The following is a 15,425-nucleotide window of genomic DNA, read 5'->3' on the forward strand; positions in this document are numbered from 1 at the left end:
ATCACCTATTAGCTTTGTGCCTTTGAATGAGTTATTTCATCTGTTTGTACCTCAGAATTCTTATCTGTAAGTAGATTGTAATAGTACCTACCTCATGAGATTATTGAGGCTTCAGGAGGATGATCCAGTTATTAATATACTCAGAGCAATGCCTGGAATGTGGAAATGCTCAGTAAATGCTAGCTGTTTATATTCCTACTTGACATATAGTTCTCAAGGCTCTATATTTGACAGAGAATCTCCTTTATTCTTGTTTTGTTTTTAAACTTGTCTTAATTGTTCTTCTGTACTCTTTCTTATTAATTTTAGGAGCAACTTGTCAAGTTCTATAACAAAGCCTATTAGGAATTTTTTTTTTCTTTTGAGACATGTCTCACTCTGTCACCCAGGCTGGAGTGCAGTGGTGCGATCTCGGCTCACTGCAAGCTCCACCTCCTGGGTTCACGCCATTCTTCTGCCTCAGCCTCCCGAGTAGCTGGGACTATAGGCACCTGCCACCACGCCTGGCTAATTTTTTGTATTTTTAGTAGAGACGGGGTTTCACCGTGTTAGCCAGGATGGTCTCGATCTCCTGACCTCATGATCCGCCCACCTCGGCCTCCCAAAGTGTTGGGATTACAGGCGTGAGCCACCGCACCTGGCCAAGCCTATTAGGATTTTTATTACAATGTACTGACTGACAGCTTATTAGGTTAGAAAAATTGTCATATTGAGTCATTTCATCTTTGAATTTGATATATCTCATAATATATTGCTGAGCTTGAGAAGGAGAGTAGGAAGGATGAGGTTATGAGGTAACAGGGAGCCAGAACGCAGGGCCTGGCAGGCTGTGCCTGATAAAAAAGGCTTTGACTTTTATTCCTGGGAAGGTGAAGAGCTGCTGGCTCTGAGCAGAGGAGTGACATGATTATACCTACCTCTTAACAGGATTCTTTGATTCATAGTGTGCTGCTTTTGGGGTAAGAAAGGGAAGGATATATATGAATGTGTGTCTGTGTGTTTGTGGAGGGGGGGGGTGTGTGTGTCTGTTTGCTTATATTTTCAAGAAGGAATAATGGAAAAATAAATGAAAAACTTACCAAAAAATGGTTACCTATAGGAGGAGGGAGAGAAGGGTATAGGAATAAAGTACTTCTGTGAATTTACTTTGTTACATAGTTTTAACTTTGGAACTATGCATATATTTTATATAATTACAAAGCAAGAGTAAATAAAAAAACAATTGCCAGATTTTCAAAACAAACTGAAACGAACATATCAAGTTTGTGGCAATGACTACACAGAGAATAATTACTTCAAGTAACTTTAAAATACAATATTTTGACTGTTCACCCTGGTGGAATGTGTTAAAAGGACGTAATGAACTGCTAAGAAATCTAAAACCACATTCTTAGTAAAACAAGTGTTATTGTTGCTAGGAGGTTTGAAATTGTTACATTGAAAGTATTATAGTTACATTGTAAGATAAAGCAAATAATTATGGCAGTGTTGTTAGGAATAAAGATCTTCAATAGAAAAGAAAAGATTACAAGTATAAAAAGCAAAGAAATCTGCAATTGGAACTGTAAATATCAATATGGACTCTCTCTCTCTCTATATATATATGTGTGTGTGTGTGTGTGTGTGTGTGTGTTGTGTGTGTGTGTGTGTATATATATATATATATTTTTTTTTTTTTACCATAAATGCATTTCTGGTCTGGCGCGATGGCTCCCAGCACTTTGGGAGGCAGAGGCAGGTGGATCACCCGAGGTCAGGAGTTCGAGACTAGCCTGGCCAACATGGTGAAATCCCGTCTCTACTAAACATACAAAAAAATTAGCCGGGCATGGTGGTGGTGGGCACCTGTAATCCCAGCTACCTGGGAGGCTGAGCACGAGAATCACTTGAATCCAGGAAGCAGAGGTTGCAGTGAGCTGAGATTGTGCCAACTGCACTTCAGCCTGGGCGACAGGGTGAGACCCTGTCTCAAAAAAAAAAAAAAAAAAAAAAAAAGCATTAGAAGCAGTGACAGTAATATAGCATTTAGTATCCCCAGTGCCCAAGTTGTGGTCTTAACTATTTCCCACTAATAGGAACCAGGGCTTTTTAGAGAAATGGCTGATTATAGGTCCGGGGCAGGAAATAGACAAGATACACCTAGGACTAAGGAACTTAACAAAAGCTAATGGAATTGTGTCAGAAGGACTCAGGAACCAATTTGGAAGGGTTCCCAGGGCTTAAGATAGAAAAGTTTGAGCATCAAAAAACAATAAGCTAGGCATAGTGGTGCCTGTAGTCCCAGCTACTCAGGAAGCTGAGGCAGGAGGATCACTTGAGCCCAGTAGATTGAAAACATCAAATACATAAAAATTCATGCATTTGAAATAATTTTCAAAGAAAGTGGAACTCATCGGTCATGATTTTGGGTTGTTAGGGGAGTTAACTAAATTCTTTAAAAATTAAAGCATTTTAATTCTTTAAAAATTAAAGGCAAAAAATTAAGCATTTATCCCACCTTTCCTATATAAACTGTTAACTCCAAGAAACCAGAGGGTTAATGAGAGAGAAGCCTTCTTTATAGAAGAATTCCAGTTAATAAATGCTGAAGGAATACTAGAACTAGAAAATTGCTGTTTTGCCACCCCTAATGAGGACATAGATCTAGGAAGCCATCACTAGGTGAGAGGATGGTGGGAAAATATAGGAGAAATCTGGCTACCTGCCATCTGAATCCACCAAACAATCTTGGCATTGCTACAACTGTGGCAGCCAGACATGATGTGCCTCATGATACTATGTAAGGGGAAGTACCCAGCCACATTCATGAACTGTTCTTGCCTAAAAAATTGAACATGACTCCAAGCCTAATGCAAATCTCTCAGTTTATAGGAAATACAGGGGTCAGAGGAACAAGTTAAAGACACCTCGAGGTTACAGTCAGCCAAATCCAAAATGTAGGACATTTTATAGGATAGATGACTTGATTTCTCTAGTAGATTGATGGCATGAAAGAGAAAAAAAGCAGGAAGGGAAGTTGTCATATAAAACAGAACTTTAAGTGACCTAACAATTAAAGCGAACCAAAATGGACCACTCTGGCTGTTGTGTTAGGAGTACATCAGAGCCAGGCGTGGTGGCAGATGTCTGTAATCCCAGCACTTTGGGAAGCCAAGGCGGGGGGACAGCTTGAGCCCTAGCATCTGAGACCAGCCTGAGCAACATGGTGAAACCCTGTCTCTACAAAAAATACAAAAAATTATCCTGTTATGGTGGCATGTGTCTGTAGTCCCAGCTACTCAGGAGGCTAAGTGGGAGGATCACCTGAGTCCGGGAAATTGAGGCTGTAGTGAGCTATGATTGTACCACTGCCCTCTAGCCTGGGCAATGGAGCAAGAACCTATCTCAAAAAAAAAAAAAAAAAAAATTAGCTGGGCATGGTGGTGCATGCCTGTGGTCCCAGCTGCTCAGGAGGCTGAGGCAGGAAGATTGCTTAAGCCCAGGAGGTTGAGGCTGCAGTGAGCCGTATTCTTGCCATTGCACTTCAGTCTGGCAGTCTGAGTAACAGAATGAGACTCTGTCAATAAATAAATAAATAAATAAATAAATAAATCAGAGATGATCAAGGATATAAACAGGGAGGACAGGTAAGAAGCTATTACAAAATTCCAGGTGAGATTTTCCACAAAGATGATAAGAAGACGGTGGTTGGATTCTCAATGTCTTTAAAAGATGTAACTGACATCTTTAAAAGATGTATGGATGAGATACGAAGTTTTAGCGTCCAAGATGACTTCCAAGTTTTGGCCTAAGCAGTTGGAACAATGGAGTGCCATTTACTGAAATAGGAAAGACTGCAGGAGAAGCAGGTTTGTGGGAAGAGATTAGGAGGAGCCCAATTCTGGACTCTATCTTCAGCCTGATAGGCCTTTTGAATAGCCACAAGAAGCTATGTTAAGGAGGCAGTGGGATATTGGGATATATGTGTGGAATACTGAGGATGGGGCCAGGATGGGAGGTACATTTGGGAAATTCAGGAGTTCTTAGTAGGCAGATGGTATGTAAAGTTACTAGAGTGAGCGGGGTGCGGTGGCTCATGCCTGTAAATCCCAACACTTTGGGACGCTGAGGCGGGAGGATTGCTTGAGCCCAAGAGTTCAAGACCAGCCTGGGCAACATAGAGAGACCCCATCTGTTTTTTTAAAAAAAGCTACTAGGGTGGGTGAAAAAATAAAAGGAGTGAGTGTAGCTAGATGAGAGGTTCCAGGGCTGAGCCTGCGAGGTGCACAGAGGTGGGAGTCAGCAACAGGAACAAAGCAGGGACACATCCCGAAAGCCAGGTGAAGGAAGGAGGAAGGCTTTGTCAGACACTTCTGGCAGGTCAAGGGAGGTGAGGACCAAAATCTGACCTTTGGATTGAGCGATGTGGAGATTGCCGATGCACTTGATAAGAGTAGTTTCATTCAGTAAGCCTGTGGGAGCGGGCTCAAGAAAGCCTGCCTGGGAGACAGAAAGATTAGAAAATAGCTCTTTTGAGGAGCTTGAAACAGAAAGAACCAAAGTGTTAGCTGGATGGCACAATGCGGTCTAGAGTCTAGAGAGGGGTGTTGCTTTGTTTGTTTAAGAATCACTGGTTTATTCCTTTCAGAAAGTATTTTTGTGATGGCAGTCTTTCCCCAACAACTTTTTATTACTGACAAACACCAAATCATAGAAAAGGTGGATACTGTCTGTGTTTCACCTAGTTTAACCGATTGTGGTTTTTTGGTTTGGTTTGGTTTGGTTTTTTTGAGACAGGGTCTCACTCTGTTGCCCAGACTAGAGTGCAGTGGTATGATCACTGCTCACTGCAGCCTCAACCTACCAGGCTCAAGCGATCCTCCCACCTCAGCCTCCCAAGTAGCTGGGACTACAGGTACACACCACCATGCCTGGCTAATTTTTTTTTTTTTTTGGTAGAGACAGAGTTTCGCCATGTTTCCCAGGCTGGGCTCAAACTCCTGAGGTCAAGCAATCCTCCTGCCTTGGGCTCCCAAAGTGCTGAGATTACAGGTGTGAGCCACCCCGCCCCACCAACCCATTGTTAACATCTTGCCACATTTGCTTTCTTTAAGTATATAAATACATTTATTTTGTCTGAGCTGCTCTAAAATTGTAGACACAAAGTTTATCTTAAAGTGTATATCTCCTAAAAAGGATGGTCTCCCACATAACCATAATATCATTATTATATTCCAAGAAATTTAATATTGATATAATATATAACATGCAGTTCATATTAAAACTGTATATTGTTGCTATTTTCATTTCCATAGTCTAATTAAAGGTCACCCATTGCTTTTAGTTGTTACATCTTGAAGATTTTTTTTTTTAGGATAGGAAAAATAATAGCACATTGATATGCTGATTTCAAAAATCTATAGAGAGTGAAAACTGATGATTCGTAAGAGGGGAACTGCCAAGGCAGTAAACTCGGGAAGGTGAGAGATAGCCAGAGCTGGACAGGGTTGGGAGGGGACTGACGTTGGTGGGAGCATGGGCGGTTCATCCAGAGTAGCAGGAAAGAGAGAAGACAGAGCCCGTGGGCAGGTGGGTAGTTAAACATGGTGGACCTTAAGGAAATTTCCTTTTGATTGCTTTTATTTTCTTAGTGAAATGGGAACGATGGTATTCAGTTGAGAGGAGGGAAAGGAGAGGTGCGACAGGCTGAAGAAAAGATATGAAGTCTTTGTCTAAGTCGTCTTCAGATTAGGACATGCATTATCACTGATCTAAGGGTGTGCATTTATAGACCCTTGTAGACCCTTAGCTTCTATATATAGGCATCCCTGGAACTAATCTGCCTGAAAAAGGACTACTTTACAGTAGGCTTCCTCTGACTTTGGAAGAAAAGGCAGACCCTCACTTATCCCAAATCTGAATTAATTATATCACCCCTCGGATTGTTTCTGCTCCTTGTCTGCTTGTTTTTGTTTTTGTTTTGAGTTGGTCGCTCTTGTCGCCCAGGCTGGAGTGCAGTGGTGTGATCTCAGCTCACTGCAACCTCCACGTCCTGGGTTCAAGTGATTCTCCTGCCTCAGCCTCCTGAGTAGCTGGGATTATAGGCACCCACCATCACGCCCAGCTAATTTTTTGTATTTTTAGTAGAGACGGGGTTTTGCCATGTTGGGCAGGCTGGTCTCAAACTCCTAACCTCAGGTGATCTGCCCTCCTCGGCCTCCCAAAGTGCTGGGATTACAGGCGAGAGCCACTGCACCAGCCATCTGCTTTCTGCTTGTTGATTTTATTCTTCTTTTTTTTAATCCAGGAAAAAATTACTTTTGAAAGCAGAATGTCCCTCTTAAAGACCCTTTTACCCCACGGTCCCATAGCTTATCATCCTGCTAGGGGATTGCCACTTCCTTGTTTCTAATTTCAGCCTTTCCAGCGTGTGTGCCTTTCTCTTTTCCCTCTCCACCTGTACTTCACCCTGTTTTCCTGCCTCTCCTTTGACTGTTGCCTCTTCTCTGGTTTTCAGGCTTGGTCACAGTGGCGGGAACAGCTCCTGTATGTCCAGAAGGAGAAACAAAAGGTTGTCTCTGCAGTGAAACATCATCAGCACTGGCAAAAACGGAGATTTCTAAAGGCCTGGCTTGAATACCTGCAAGTCCGCAGAGTGAAGAGACAGCAGAATGGTGAGTAGGAAGCTCCAGGCTCTCGAGATAGAGGATCTGGTCACAGTTTCACTCTCCTGCTGCCAGTGGTACTGTACTAAGAAGTAATATAATGGTGCTACTCCAGAAATTTTGGTAAAAGGAGATTAAGGAGGAAAATACATCATCCTTGAGTCACATTTATTTCTCTTTGGGCTTTTATTTATATATCTGTATCTATATCTATCTAGCTATCTGTAGATAGATTTTTTTTTTTTTTTTGAGATGGAGTTTCGCTCTTGTCACCCAGGCTGGAGTGCAGTGGCGCAATCTCGGCTCACTGCAACCTCCGTCTCCTGGGTTCAGGTGATTCTTCTGCCTCAGCCTCCCTAGTAGTTGGGATCACAGGTGCCCACCACCTCGCCCGGCTAATTTTTGTATTTTTAGTAAAGATGGGGTTTCATAACTTTGGCCAGGCTAGTCTCAAACTCCTGACCTCAGGTGATCCGCCTGCCTCAGCCTCCCAAAGTGCTGGGATTGCAGGCGTGAGCCACTGTTTCCGGCCTCTTCTGTATATTTTTTATCTAAATAGGGTTTTCATTTTGCTATAAGTATTGTAATTATTTTGATTAATATGTTGATAACCTATGGTTTTGTATCTTCCTTTTTTCCACACAGTTAATCAACACTTCCCTACATCTTAAGTATTTGTCGTAAATGTTATTTTTTAACAACTATTCATATTTTATAGGATGGCTTACCTTAATATACTTAGCCATTCTCCTATTAATAGATATTTGGATAGTTTCTGTTTGTCTCCAGTTATGCAAATGCATGTGATTTTGATGTTGAGTTTTTTGGATACTGTTTATATGGTTTTGTTTCCCAATTAGATTCAGAAGTAATAATACATAGAAATGTGAACATTAGTACACTTTTTAACTTAAGTTTATTGAGTTTATACCAAAGTAAGTCAAGCACTGTGCTAGACACTGGGTTAAGGGTCTCTGGCGTTCACCCAAACCTCCCTGCAGAAATCTCTTACGCTGCCAACACTGTCTCTTGGGAGAGTTTGAATATGTTCATTGGAGGATAGTGACCCCAGACCAACAGTCCAGTTGCCCAGTCCTGGAATGTGAAGGCATTAAGCTGTTTAGTATGATAAGCTATAGACTAATGCCTGCCTCCAATTACAGCATTCAAATTCCAGGTCTGATTCCCATCCCCTTCCCAGGCCCTAGCTCATCAGACCATTATCTGACTAGCATTAAAAGGAGATGAAGCTGGCAGCCAGGATCAGGTTGGCTGAAAGCTCAAAAAAGCCTATGCCAGCGTGGCAACTGAATTTTATGTCATTGACTCAATCTCTAAGTCCTATCCAGGAGACATTTGTTTAGAAGCAAAAGTAAAACAGTCCTTTTTGAAAGTAACAGTTTTCATTTCTGTTCATCAGTATCTAACTAGAAGCCTCAGCCCTTTGATGTAACTGATTTTATAGCATCCTCCTCCCTAAAATCACAGACCTTTTCTCTTTCCTTGGAGAGAGGAGATGTAGCTCAGGGATTCCTAATGACCTTTCAAGGTTTAAAAAACTTGTATTTTGGCCGGGCGCGGTGGCTCACGTCTGTAATCCCAGCACTGTGAGAGGCTGAGGCGGGCGGATCACTTGAGGTCAGGAGTTCGAGACCAGCTTGGCTAACATGGTGAAACCCCATCTCTATTAAAAATGCAGAAAAATCAGCCAGGGGTGGTGGCACATGCCTGTAATTCTAGCAACTTGGGAGGCTGAGGCAGGAGAATCGCTGGAACCTGGGAGGCATAGGTTGCAGTGAGCCGAGATCCCGCCACTGCACTCCAGCCTGGGCAACAGAGCGAGACTCCAACTCAAAGAAAAAAAAAAAAAAACTTAGTGCGTGTGTGTGTGTGTGTGTGTGTGTGTGTGTGTGTGTGGCCTTGAACCCCTGCTCTCTGCCAGTAGTGGGGTTCAGCTTGTCTTAAAGATGTTTCCAGCTCATCTAACCTTAGGGGAGTAGCACTTAAGTTATTTCTCTGTTGCAGAGATGGCTGAGCGATTCCATCATGTCACTGTGCTCCAGATATACTTCTGTGACTGGCAGCAGGCCTGGGAGCGGAGGGAGAGCTTGTACGCTCACCATGCCCAGGTGGAGAAACTGGCCAGGAAGATGGCCCTGCGGCGCGCCTTTACTCACTGGAAACACTGTATCCTTTCAGATACTCAGGCTGTCCATTGCCTCAGCCAGGACAGCATGAGCTCAGCAGCATGTGAAACGAAAGTCATGAGATACATGGGAAACAATTGCCAAACGATTCAAAACAGCCTTATCTCTGTTGACAGTCTTAAAATTTTTGTTTAATTGGGATTGTGTATAAAAAGAGTGCTTATATATAGTTTAAAAATAATAAAATGAACAACTATATATCTTATCACCCAACTTTCAAAATAGAACCTTCCTAGCACACCTATTTGCTCCTCCCTGACTGCGTTCTTTTTCTTTTCCCTCAGAGGTAATCCCACTTTCCTGATTCACATTTTTTGGTGTTACAATTTAAGTGCTTTTCTCTACCCACTAGGTGGTGGAAATAGCCACCACTATCTTTTTCTTGGTGATACCATCACCGTGATCATAGTTTCCATTTATTGCGCTTTTACTACGTAGCAGACATTATGCATCATCCTCTTCATCCTCATAGCAACGCTGTGGAGTAGGTGCCACTATTACCATTTTACAGACGAGGAAAGAGATTCAGAGGAGCTGAGTGTATTCTAAAGTCACAGGTCATTGGCAGAGTCAAGATTTTCAAAACCTAGGCCTTTAACTCCTGTGTACATATTCTTTTTTTTTTTTTTTGAGATGGACTCTTGCTCTGTCACCCAGGCTGGAGTGCAGTGGTACAATCTCGGCTCACTGCAATCTCCGCCTCCCAGGTTCAAGCGATTCTCCTGCCTTAGCCTCACGAGTAGCTGGGATTACAGGCATGTGCCACCACGCCTGGCTAATTTTTGTATTTTTAGTAGAGACGGGGTTTCGCCATGTTGGCCAGGCTGGTCTCGAACTCTTGACTTCAGGTGATCCACCCACCTCAGCCTCCCGAAGTGCTGGGATTACAGGCATGAGCCAGCGTACCCAGCCTCTTTTTTTTTTTTGAGACAGAGTCTCGCTCTGTCACCCAGGCTGGATTGCAGTGGTGCCATCTCAGCTTACCGCAACCTCTGCCTCCCGGGTTCAAGTGATTGTCCTGTCTCAGCCTCCTGAGTAGCTGGGATTACAGGCGGCCACCACCATGCCCAGCTAATTTTTGTGCTTTTAGTAGACATGGGGTTTCTCCATGTTGGCCAGGCTGGTCTCGAACTCCTGACCCAAAGTGATCCACTTGCCTCGGCCTCTTAAAGTACTGGGATTACCGGCGTGAGCCACCGCGTCCAGCTCTATGTATAAACTCTTTTTTTTCCCTTTTTTTTTTTGAGATGGAGTTTCGCTCTTGTAGCCCAAGCTGGAGTGCAATGGCCCAATCTTGGCTCACCACAACCTCTGCCTTCCGGGTTCAAGCGATTCTCCGGCCTCAGCCCCACGAGTAGCTGGGATTACAGGCATGCACCACCATGTCCGGCTAATTTTTTTGTATTTTTAGTAGAGACAGGGTTTCTCCATGTTAGTCAGGCTGGTCTCAAACTCCTGACGACCTCAGGTGATCTGCCCGCCTCGGCCTTCCAAAGTGCTGTGATTACAGGCCTGAGCCACCGCACCCAGCCATATTCTTAATCACTACCCCTACCATACTGTGTGCCCAAGTGTGAGAATTTGGACTGCCTAGGATGTTCATCCACACATTTTATTTGTTCATCAAAGTCTTGCTTTGTATAAACTCCTGCTTAAATTCTGGGATATGAGGAAGCTCAGACTAATGATAGTTCATTGTCTAGTGGGGGAAATAGACATGAAAATATGTCTTTAAATATGGCATGATAATTCCTATCATAAAGATTTGTATGAAGTCCTGTGAGAGCGACTGTGGAGATTCAGCCAAGGAGGTAATGTTTGTGCAGAGTCTAAGTCATAGGAGATGAGAAGTTGGGAAGGTTGATGTCTTAGGGGAAGACTGCAGAAGGTTGGAAAAGGCATTTCAGTGAGGAAAAGCATTCAAGAATCCAGTGGGCTGTGGAGGTAGGGATGGTGGGAAGGTAGATGCAGGAACCTCTGGAGGTTTTTTAACTTTTAAAAATTTAGAGACAGGGTCACATGTTGCCCAGGCTGGAGTGCAGTGGCTTTCACAGGCGCAATGGTAGCTCACTACAGTCTTGAACTCCTGGGCTTAAGCAATCCTCCCCCCTCAGCCTACGAAGTAGGTGAAACTACAGGCACACACCATCACACCCGGCTTCAGGGGTTTTTAAGAAGAGAAGAGGCTGGGGGCAGTGGCTCACACCTGTAATCCAAGTGCTTTGGGAGGATCGCTTGAACTCAGGAGTTTGAGGCTACAGTGAACTATGATGGCACCCTTGCCCTACAGCCTGGGTGACAGAGTGAGACCCAGTCTCTTAAAAAAGAAAAGAAGTGCAGTCAGATTTGTGCTTTGGAAAGGATAATTCTGGATTAGCGGAGAGAGGCTAGCACTGGTGGGAGACCAGTTATGGGAGGAGGCTCACTTACCAGTCTACGTAAGGGACGAGTTGGATGAACTGCAGGGTGTTGGGGGTGGGGACAGAAGAGCAGAAGGGGATGGAGAGAGCCAAGAGATTTAGGAAGGGAACAGATGGACTTGGCGACCGATTAGATGAGAGTGGGAGGAGAAAAGGTTTGAAAATAACTCCAAGGTTTTTAGCTCAAATATCTAACTGGATTGTGATGCCAAAACAGAGACTATAGAAAAAGGAGCAGATTCTGCTTTAGATATGGTGATTTCTAAATGTTTACTGAAATTGATAGCAGTTTATCTCAGGTATTTTTTGCGTCTCATCTCATGGGCATTCAAGGGGAGGAATGCAAGACCAGATGTTTGATCAGTAACTGACAGGGTTTCCCTTTGCCCACTGCTTCCCTGGGTCATCAGGAGTAGACAGAGGTGGACCTCAGCCCACCTGGCACGTGTGTTATCCCCGATAGCCACGGCCCTTCAAGGTGGCTTGCTGAGAATGCACTGTGTAGGGGTCAGAACCTTGTTGGGACTGGAGGCCTTCACTTCCTGGCAGACATGCTGCTGTGTGCAGAAGAAGCTGCCCAGTTTGAGATGGCAGAAGAGCACCACAGGCACAGCCAGCTGGTAAGAGCCCTGCATCCTGGCACGGGTCCGCTTGGCAGCCTTGCTTGGGTATCCACTCTTGGGGGACCCTGACCCCTATCACCTTCATTAAATGCAGTCAGCTATGGGTGAGTTTTGGTCATGAAGCCCTCCTTTCATTGTGGGTGTCCTTCTTTTCATTTTGGATTACAGGTGCTAATGTTGTAGGGTCAGAGGGGTATGGAGCTGTAAAGGAACCTCAGAGATTATTTAGTCCTGAGCTTTTTTTACATGGTAAAACCCCTTTTGAGTGGCGGAAGCCTCACCTATAAAATAGGTCAAAGTAGCCATGCTGTGGTTGAAGCACGTCAGGGAGTCCGTCCCTGTTCTACCTGCTACTCTTCCCTTCCCTTGCTACACGAGGTGGTCTTCATATGTTTTCAGGAGCCTCTGGGGCTCCACAAAGCACAGTACGAAAACCCCTAATCCAGTCTGATATCTTCACTTCTGTCTCAGAAAATTGAAGCCTAAGGCATGGGGAAGTATGGGCAAATCAGCTTTGCTTAGCCAATTTGTGAGGCATTATTATTATTTTTTAGAGATGCGGTCTCACTATGTTGTCCAGGCTAGATTCAAACTTCTGGGCTCAAGCAATCCTCCCACCTCAGCCTCCTGAGTAGCTGGGACTATAGGCATGTGCCACCAGGCCCAGTGTTGAGGCATTAGTATTATTATCATTACTATTATTATTAGAGATAGGGTCTCCTCTGTCACCCAGGCTGGAGTGCAGTGTTAAAATCATAGCTTGCTGCAGCCTTGAACTCCTGGACTCAAGTGATCCTTCCACTTCAGCCTCCCAAGCAGCTGGGACCACAGGCACATGCCACCATGCCCAACTAATTTTTTAGATTTTTTTTTTTTTTGAGACAGAGTCTCGCTCTGTCACCCAGCCTGGAGTGCAGTGGTGCTATCTTGGCTCACTGCAAGCTCTGCCTCCGGGGTTCACGCCATTCTCCTGCCTCAGCCTCCCGAGTAGCTGGGACTACAGGTGCCTGCCACCACACCCAGCTAATTTTTTGTATGTTTAATAGAGACGGGGTTTCACCATGTTAGCCAAGATGGTCTCGATCTCCTGACCTCGTGATCCGCCCGCCTCGGCCTCCCAAAGTGCTGGGATTACAGGCGTGAGCCACCACGCCCGGCCTAATTTTTTAGTTTTTTTATACAGACGGAGTCTCCTTCTGTTGGCCAGGCTGGTCTTGAACTCCTGTGCTCAAGCAGTCCTCCTGCCTCAGCATCCTAAAGTGTTGGGATTACAGGTGTGAGCCACTGCACCTGGCCTTTTAGGCATTATTGATGGAGCTGGATCCAGGTCCATCCTGGCCCAACTCCAACCCTTCCTTTCACTAAAGATTCCTTCTTCCATTTTAGCAGCACTGCATTTATAATCATACAAATGTATGCACTGAGCCCACATGGTAAAAAAACAAAAACCACCACAGACAAAAAGTCTGTCTTCTCCTGAGAGGCAACAGTTGATGTTTACCTTGGTCTGTAGAATTGTCATGTGGGTCATGGGGTTCTTTCCTGGTGTGGGTGTGTTTGTTCTTGTGCAGTATAGATGGACAGCAGGGAGGGTTCAGCAAATATTTATTAAGTGCCTGCTGTGCAGGCTGGCTTGTGTTAGGCTCCCAGTTGAATCTCAAAGCAGAGAAACACTCAGGGAGATGGAACAGCTACAAGAAGCTGTGACCAAGCTTCTCCCCGCTGATTTGAGGCACTGTTTGCCTTCCTCTACTCTTAGTTTACAGACTCTACTGATCCCAGTCCTTGTAATCAGTTGTGTCCTTTCTTTGCACAGTATTTTTGCTTTAGAGCCCTAAAAGACAATGTGACCCACGCTCATCTCCAGCAAATAAGAAGGAATCTTGCTCACCAGCAGCATGGTGTCACGGTGAGGGTTGTCTTCTGTATCAAGGGACCTCTTCTGAAGGCCATTCTCTCTCGCTCTTTTTTTCAGTCTTGCCAAATTAAGCAGAACTCTTTTTAAAAAAACTTTTTGTGCTTCAAGATTTGTCCAGACTGTCAACTGTAAAACCTTAGTTTGCATTTTCTTTCTTTCTTTTCTTTTCTTTTTTTTTTTTTTTTTTTTGAGACAGTCTTTCTCTATTGCCCAGACTGTAATACAGTGGCACGATCTCAGCTCACTGCAACCTCCGCCTCCCGGGTTCAAGCAATTCTCCTGCCTCAGCCTCTTGAGTAGCTGGGATTACAGGCATGCGCCACTACACCTTCCTAATTTTTGTATTTGTAGTAGAGACGAGGTTTCACCATGTTGGCCAGGCTTGTCTCGAACTCCTGACTTCAGATGATCCACCCGCCTCAGCCTCCCAAAGTGCTGGGATTACAGGCGTGAGTCACCATGCTCGGCCTTTTTAGTTTGCATTTTCTTTGGTAATCCATACCTGCTGATAGAAAAACTTGTTTGATCCCATTTTTTTATCTATTTGCCAAGAAATGGATAGTTGACTCAAAGTTCAGGGACTGTGGATTTTAAACCTGACCTAGGGGATATAGTGATACAAATACTTTCTTTTTTTCTTTACTTATTTAGAGGCAGGGTCTTGTTCTGTCACCCAGGCTGTAGTGCAGTAGATCACTGCAGGTTCAAGTGATCCTCCTGCCTCAGCCTCCCAAGTAGTTGGGACTACAGCTGTAAGCCACCACACCCAGCTAATTTTTGTATTTTTTGTAGATGGGGTCCTACTATGTTGCCTAGGCTGATCTCAAACTCCTGGGCTCAAGTGATCTGCCCACCTTCGCCTCTCAAAGTGCTGGGATTACAGGTGTGAGCCACCGCACCTGGCCCAAATATACTTTTTTTTTTTTTGAGACAGGGTCTTGCTCTGTTGCCCAGGCTGGTGTGCAGCTGCAGTGGTGCGATCTCAACTCACTGCAACCTCCACCTCCCAAGTTCAAGCGATTCTCATGTCTCAGCCTCCCAAGTAGCTGGGATCACAGGTGTGCACCACCAAGCCCAGCTAATTTTTTTGTATTTTTAGTAGAGACGGGTTTTTCCCCATGTTGGTTGGGCTGGTCGCAAACTCCTGGCCTCAAGCAATCCACCTGCCTCGGCCTCCTAAAGTGCTGGGATTACAGACATGAGCCACCATGCCCGGCCCCAATAGGAGGCTTTGGTTGTGTTTCTATTGTAAGTCTATTCACTTCCATTGTAAGTCCATTATAAAACAATGGTTTGTTTACTTGATGCCAACATATATTGTCTCTACTTTCTTGGTGTAGGATTTTTTTCCCTGTTACTATTTTATGAAAAATGTTTAAACATACAGAAAAATAGGAAAAAAAAGTATAATAAGCCTCTATATAGTCACTACCTGGATATAGTAATTGTTAATATTTGCTATGTTTGCCTCATTGTTTTTTGCTGAATAATTTCAAAGTAAATTATAGACATCATGACACTTTGCACCTAAATATTTCAGCATGCGTCACTCAGAGACATTTTCTTATGTAACGACAATGTCATTATCATCCCTAAGAAAAGTAACAGTGATT

The 15,425-nt window shown here is 44.1% G+C and overlaps 1 protein-coding gene across 5 annotated transcripts in view, besides 1 other annotated feature; it reads left to right on the plus strand.

Moving 5' to 3' along the window:
• SFI1 (SFI1 centrin binding protein) overlaps positions 1-15,425 on the plus strand; it is a 122,450-nt gene that overhangs the window by 70,423 nt on the left and 36,602 nt on the right. For 3 of the 5 annotated variants that reach the window (NM_001007467.3, NM_001258327.2, NM_001258326.2), the window contains 4 exons: positions 6,497-6,653; positions 8,670-8,831; positions 11,821-11,891; positions 13,711-13,803. In NM_001007467.3, coding sequence (NP_001007468.1) covers positions 6,497-6,653; positions 8,670-8,831; positions 11,821-11,891; positions 13,711-13,803 — 483 coding nt within the window. The remainder of the gene's footprint in view (positions 1-6,496; positions 6,654-8,669; positions 8,832-11,820; positions 11,892-13,710; positions 13,804-15,425) is intronic. The other 2 variants (NM_001258325.1, NM_014775.4) reach the window with 1 other exon arrangement.
• Positions 13,322-13,616: a silencer, noted in NCBI's record as "tiled region #2577; K562 Repressive non-DNase unmatched - State 23:Low". NCBI's record gives its function as "represses a minimal TATA promoter and a strong SV40 promoter by Sharpr-MPRA in K562 cells {active_cell/tissue: K562}" and the evidence as "EXISTENCE:reporter gene assay evidence [ECO:0000049][PMID:27701403]".

Source organism: Homo sapiens, chromosome 22 (assembly GCF_000001405.40).
Source record: "Homo sapiens chromosome 22, GRCh38.p14 Primary Assembly".
NCBI classification, from domain to species: Eukaryota; Metazoa; Chordata; class Mammalia; order Primates; family Hominidae; genus Homo; species Homo sapiens.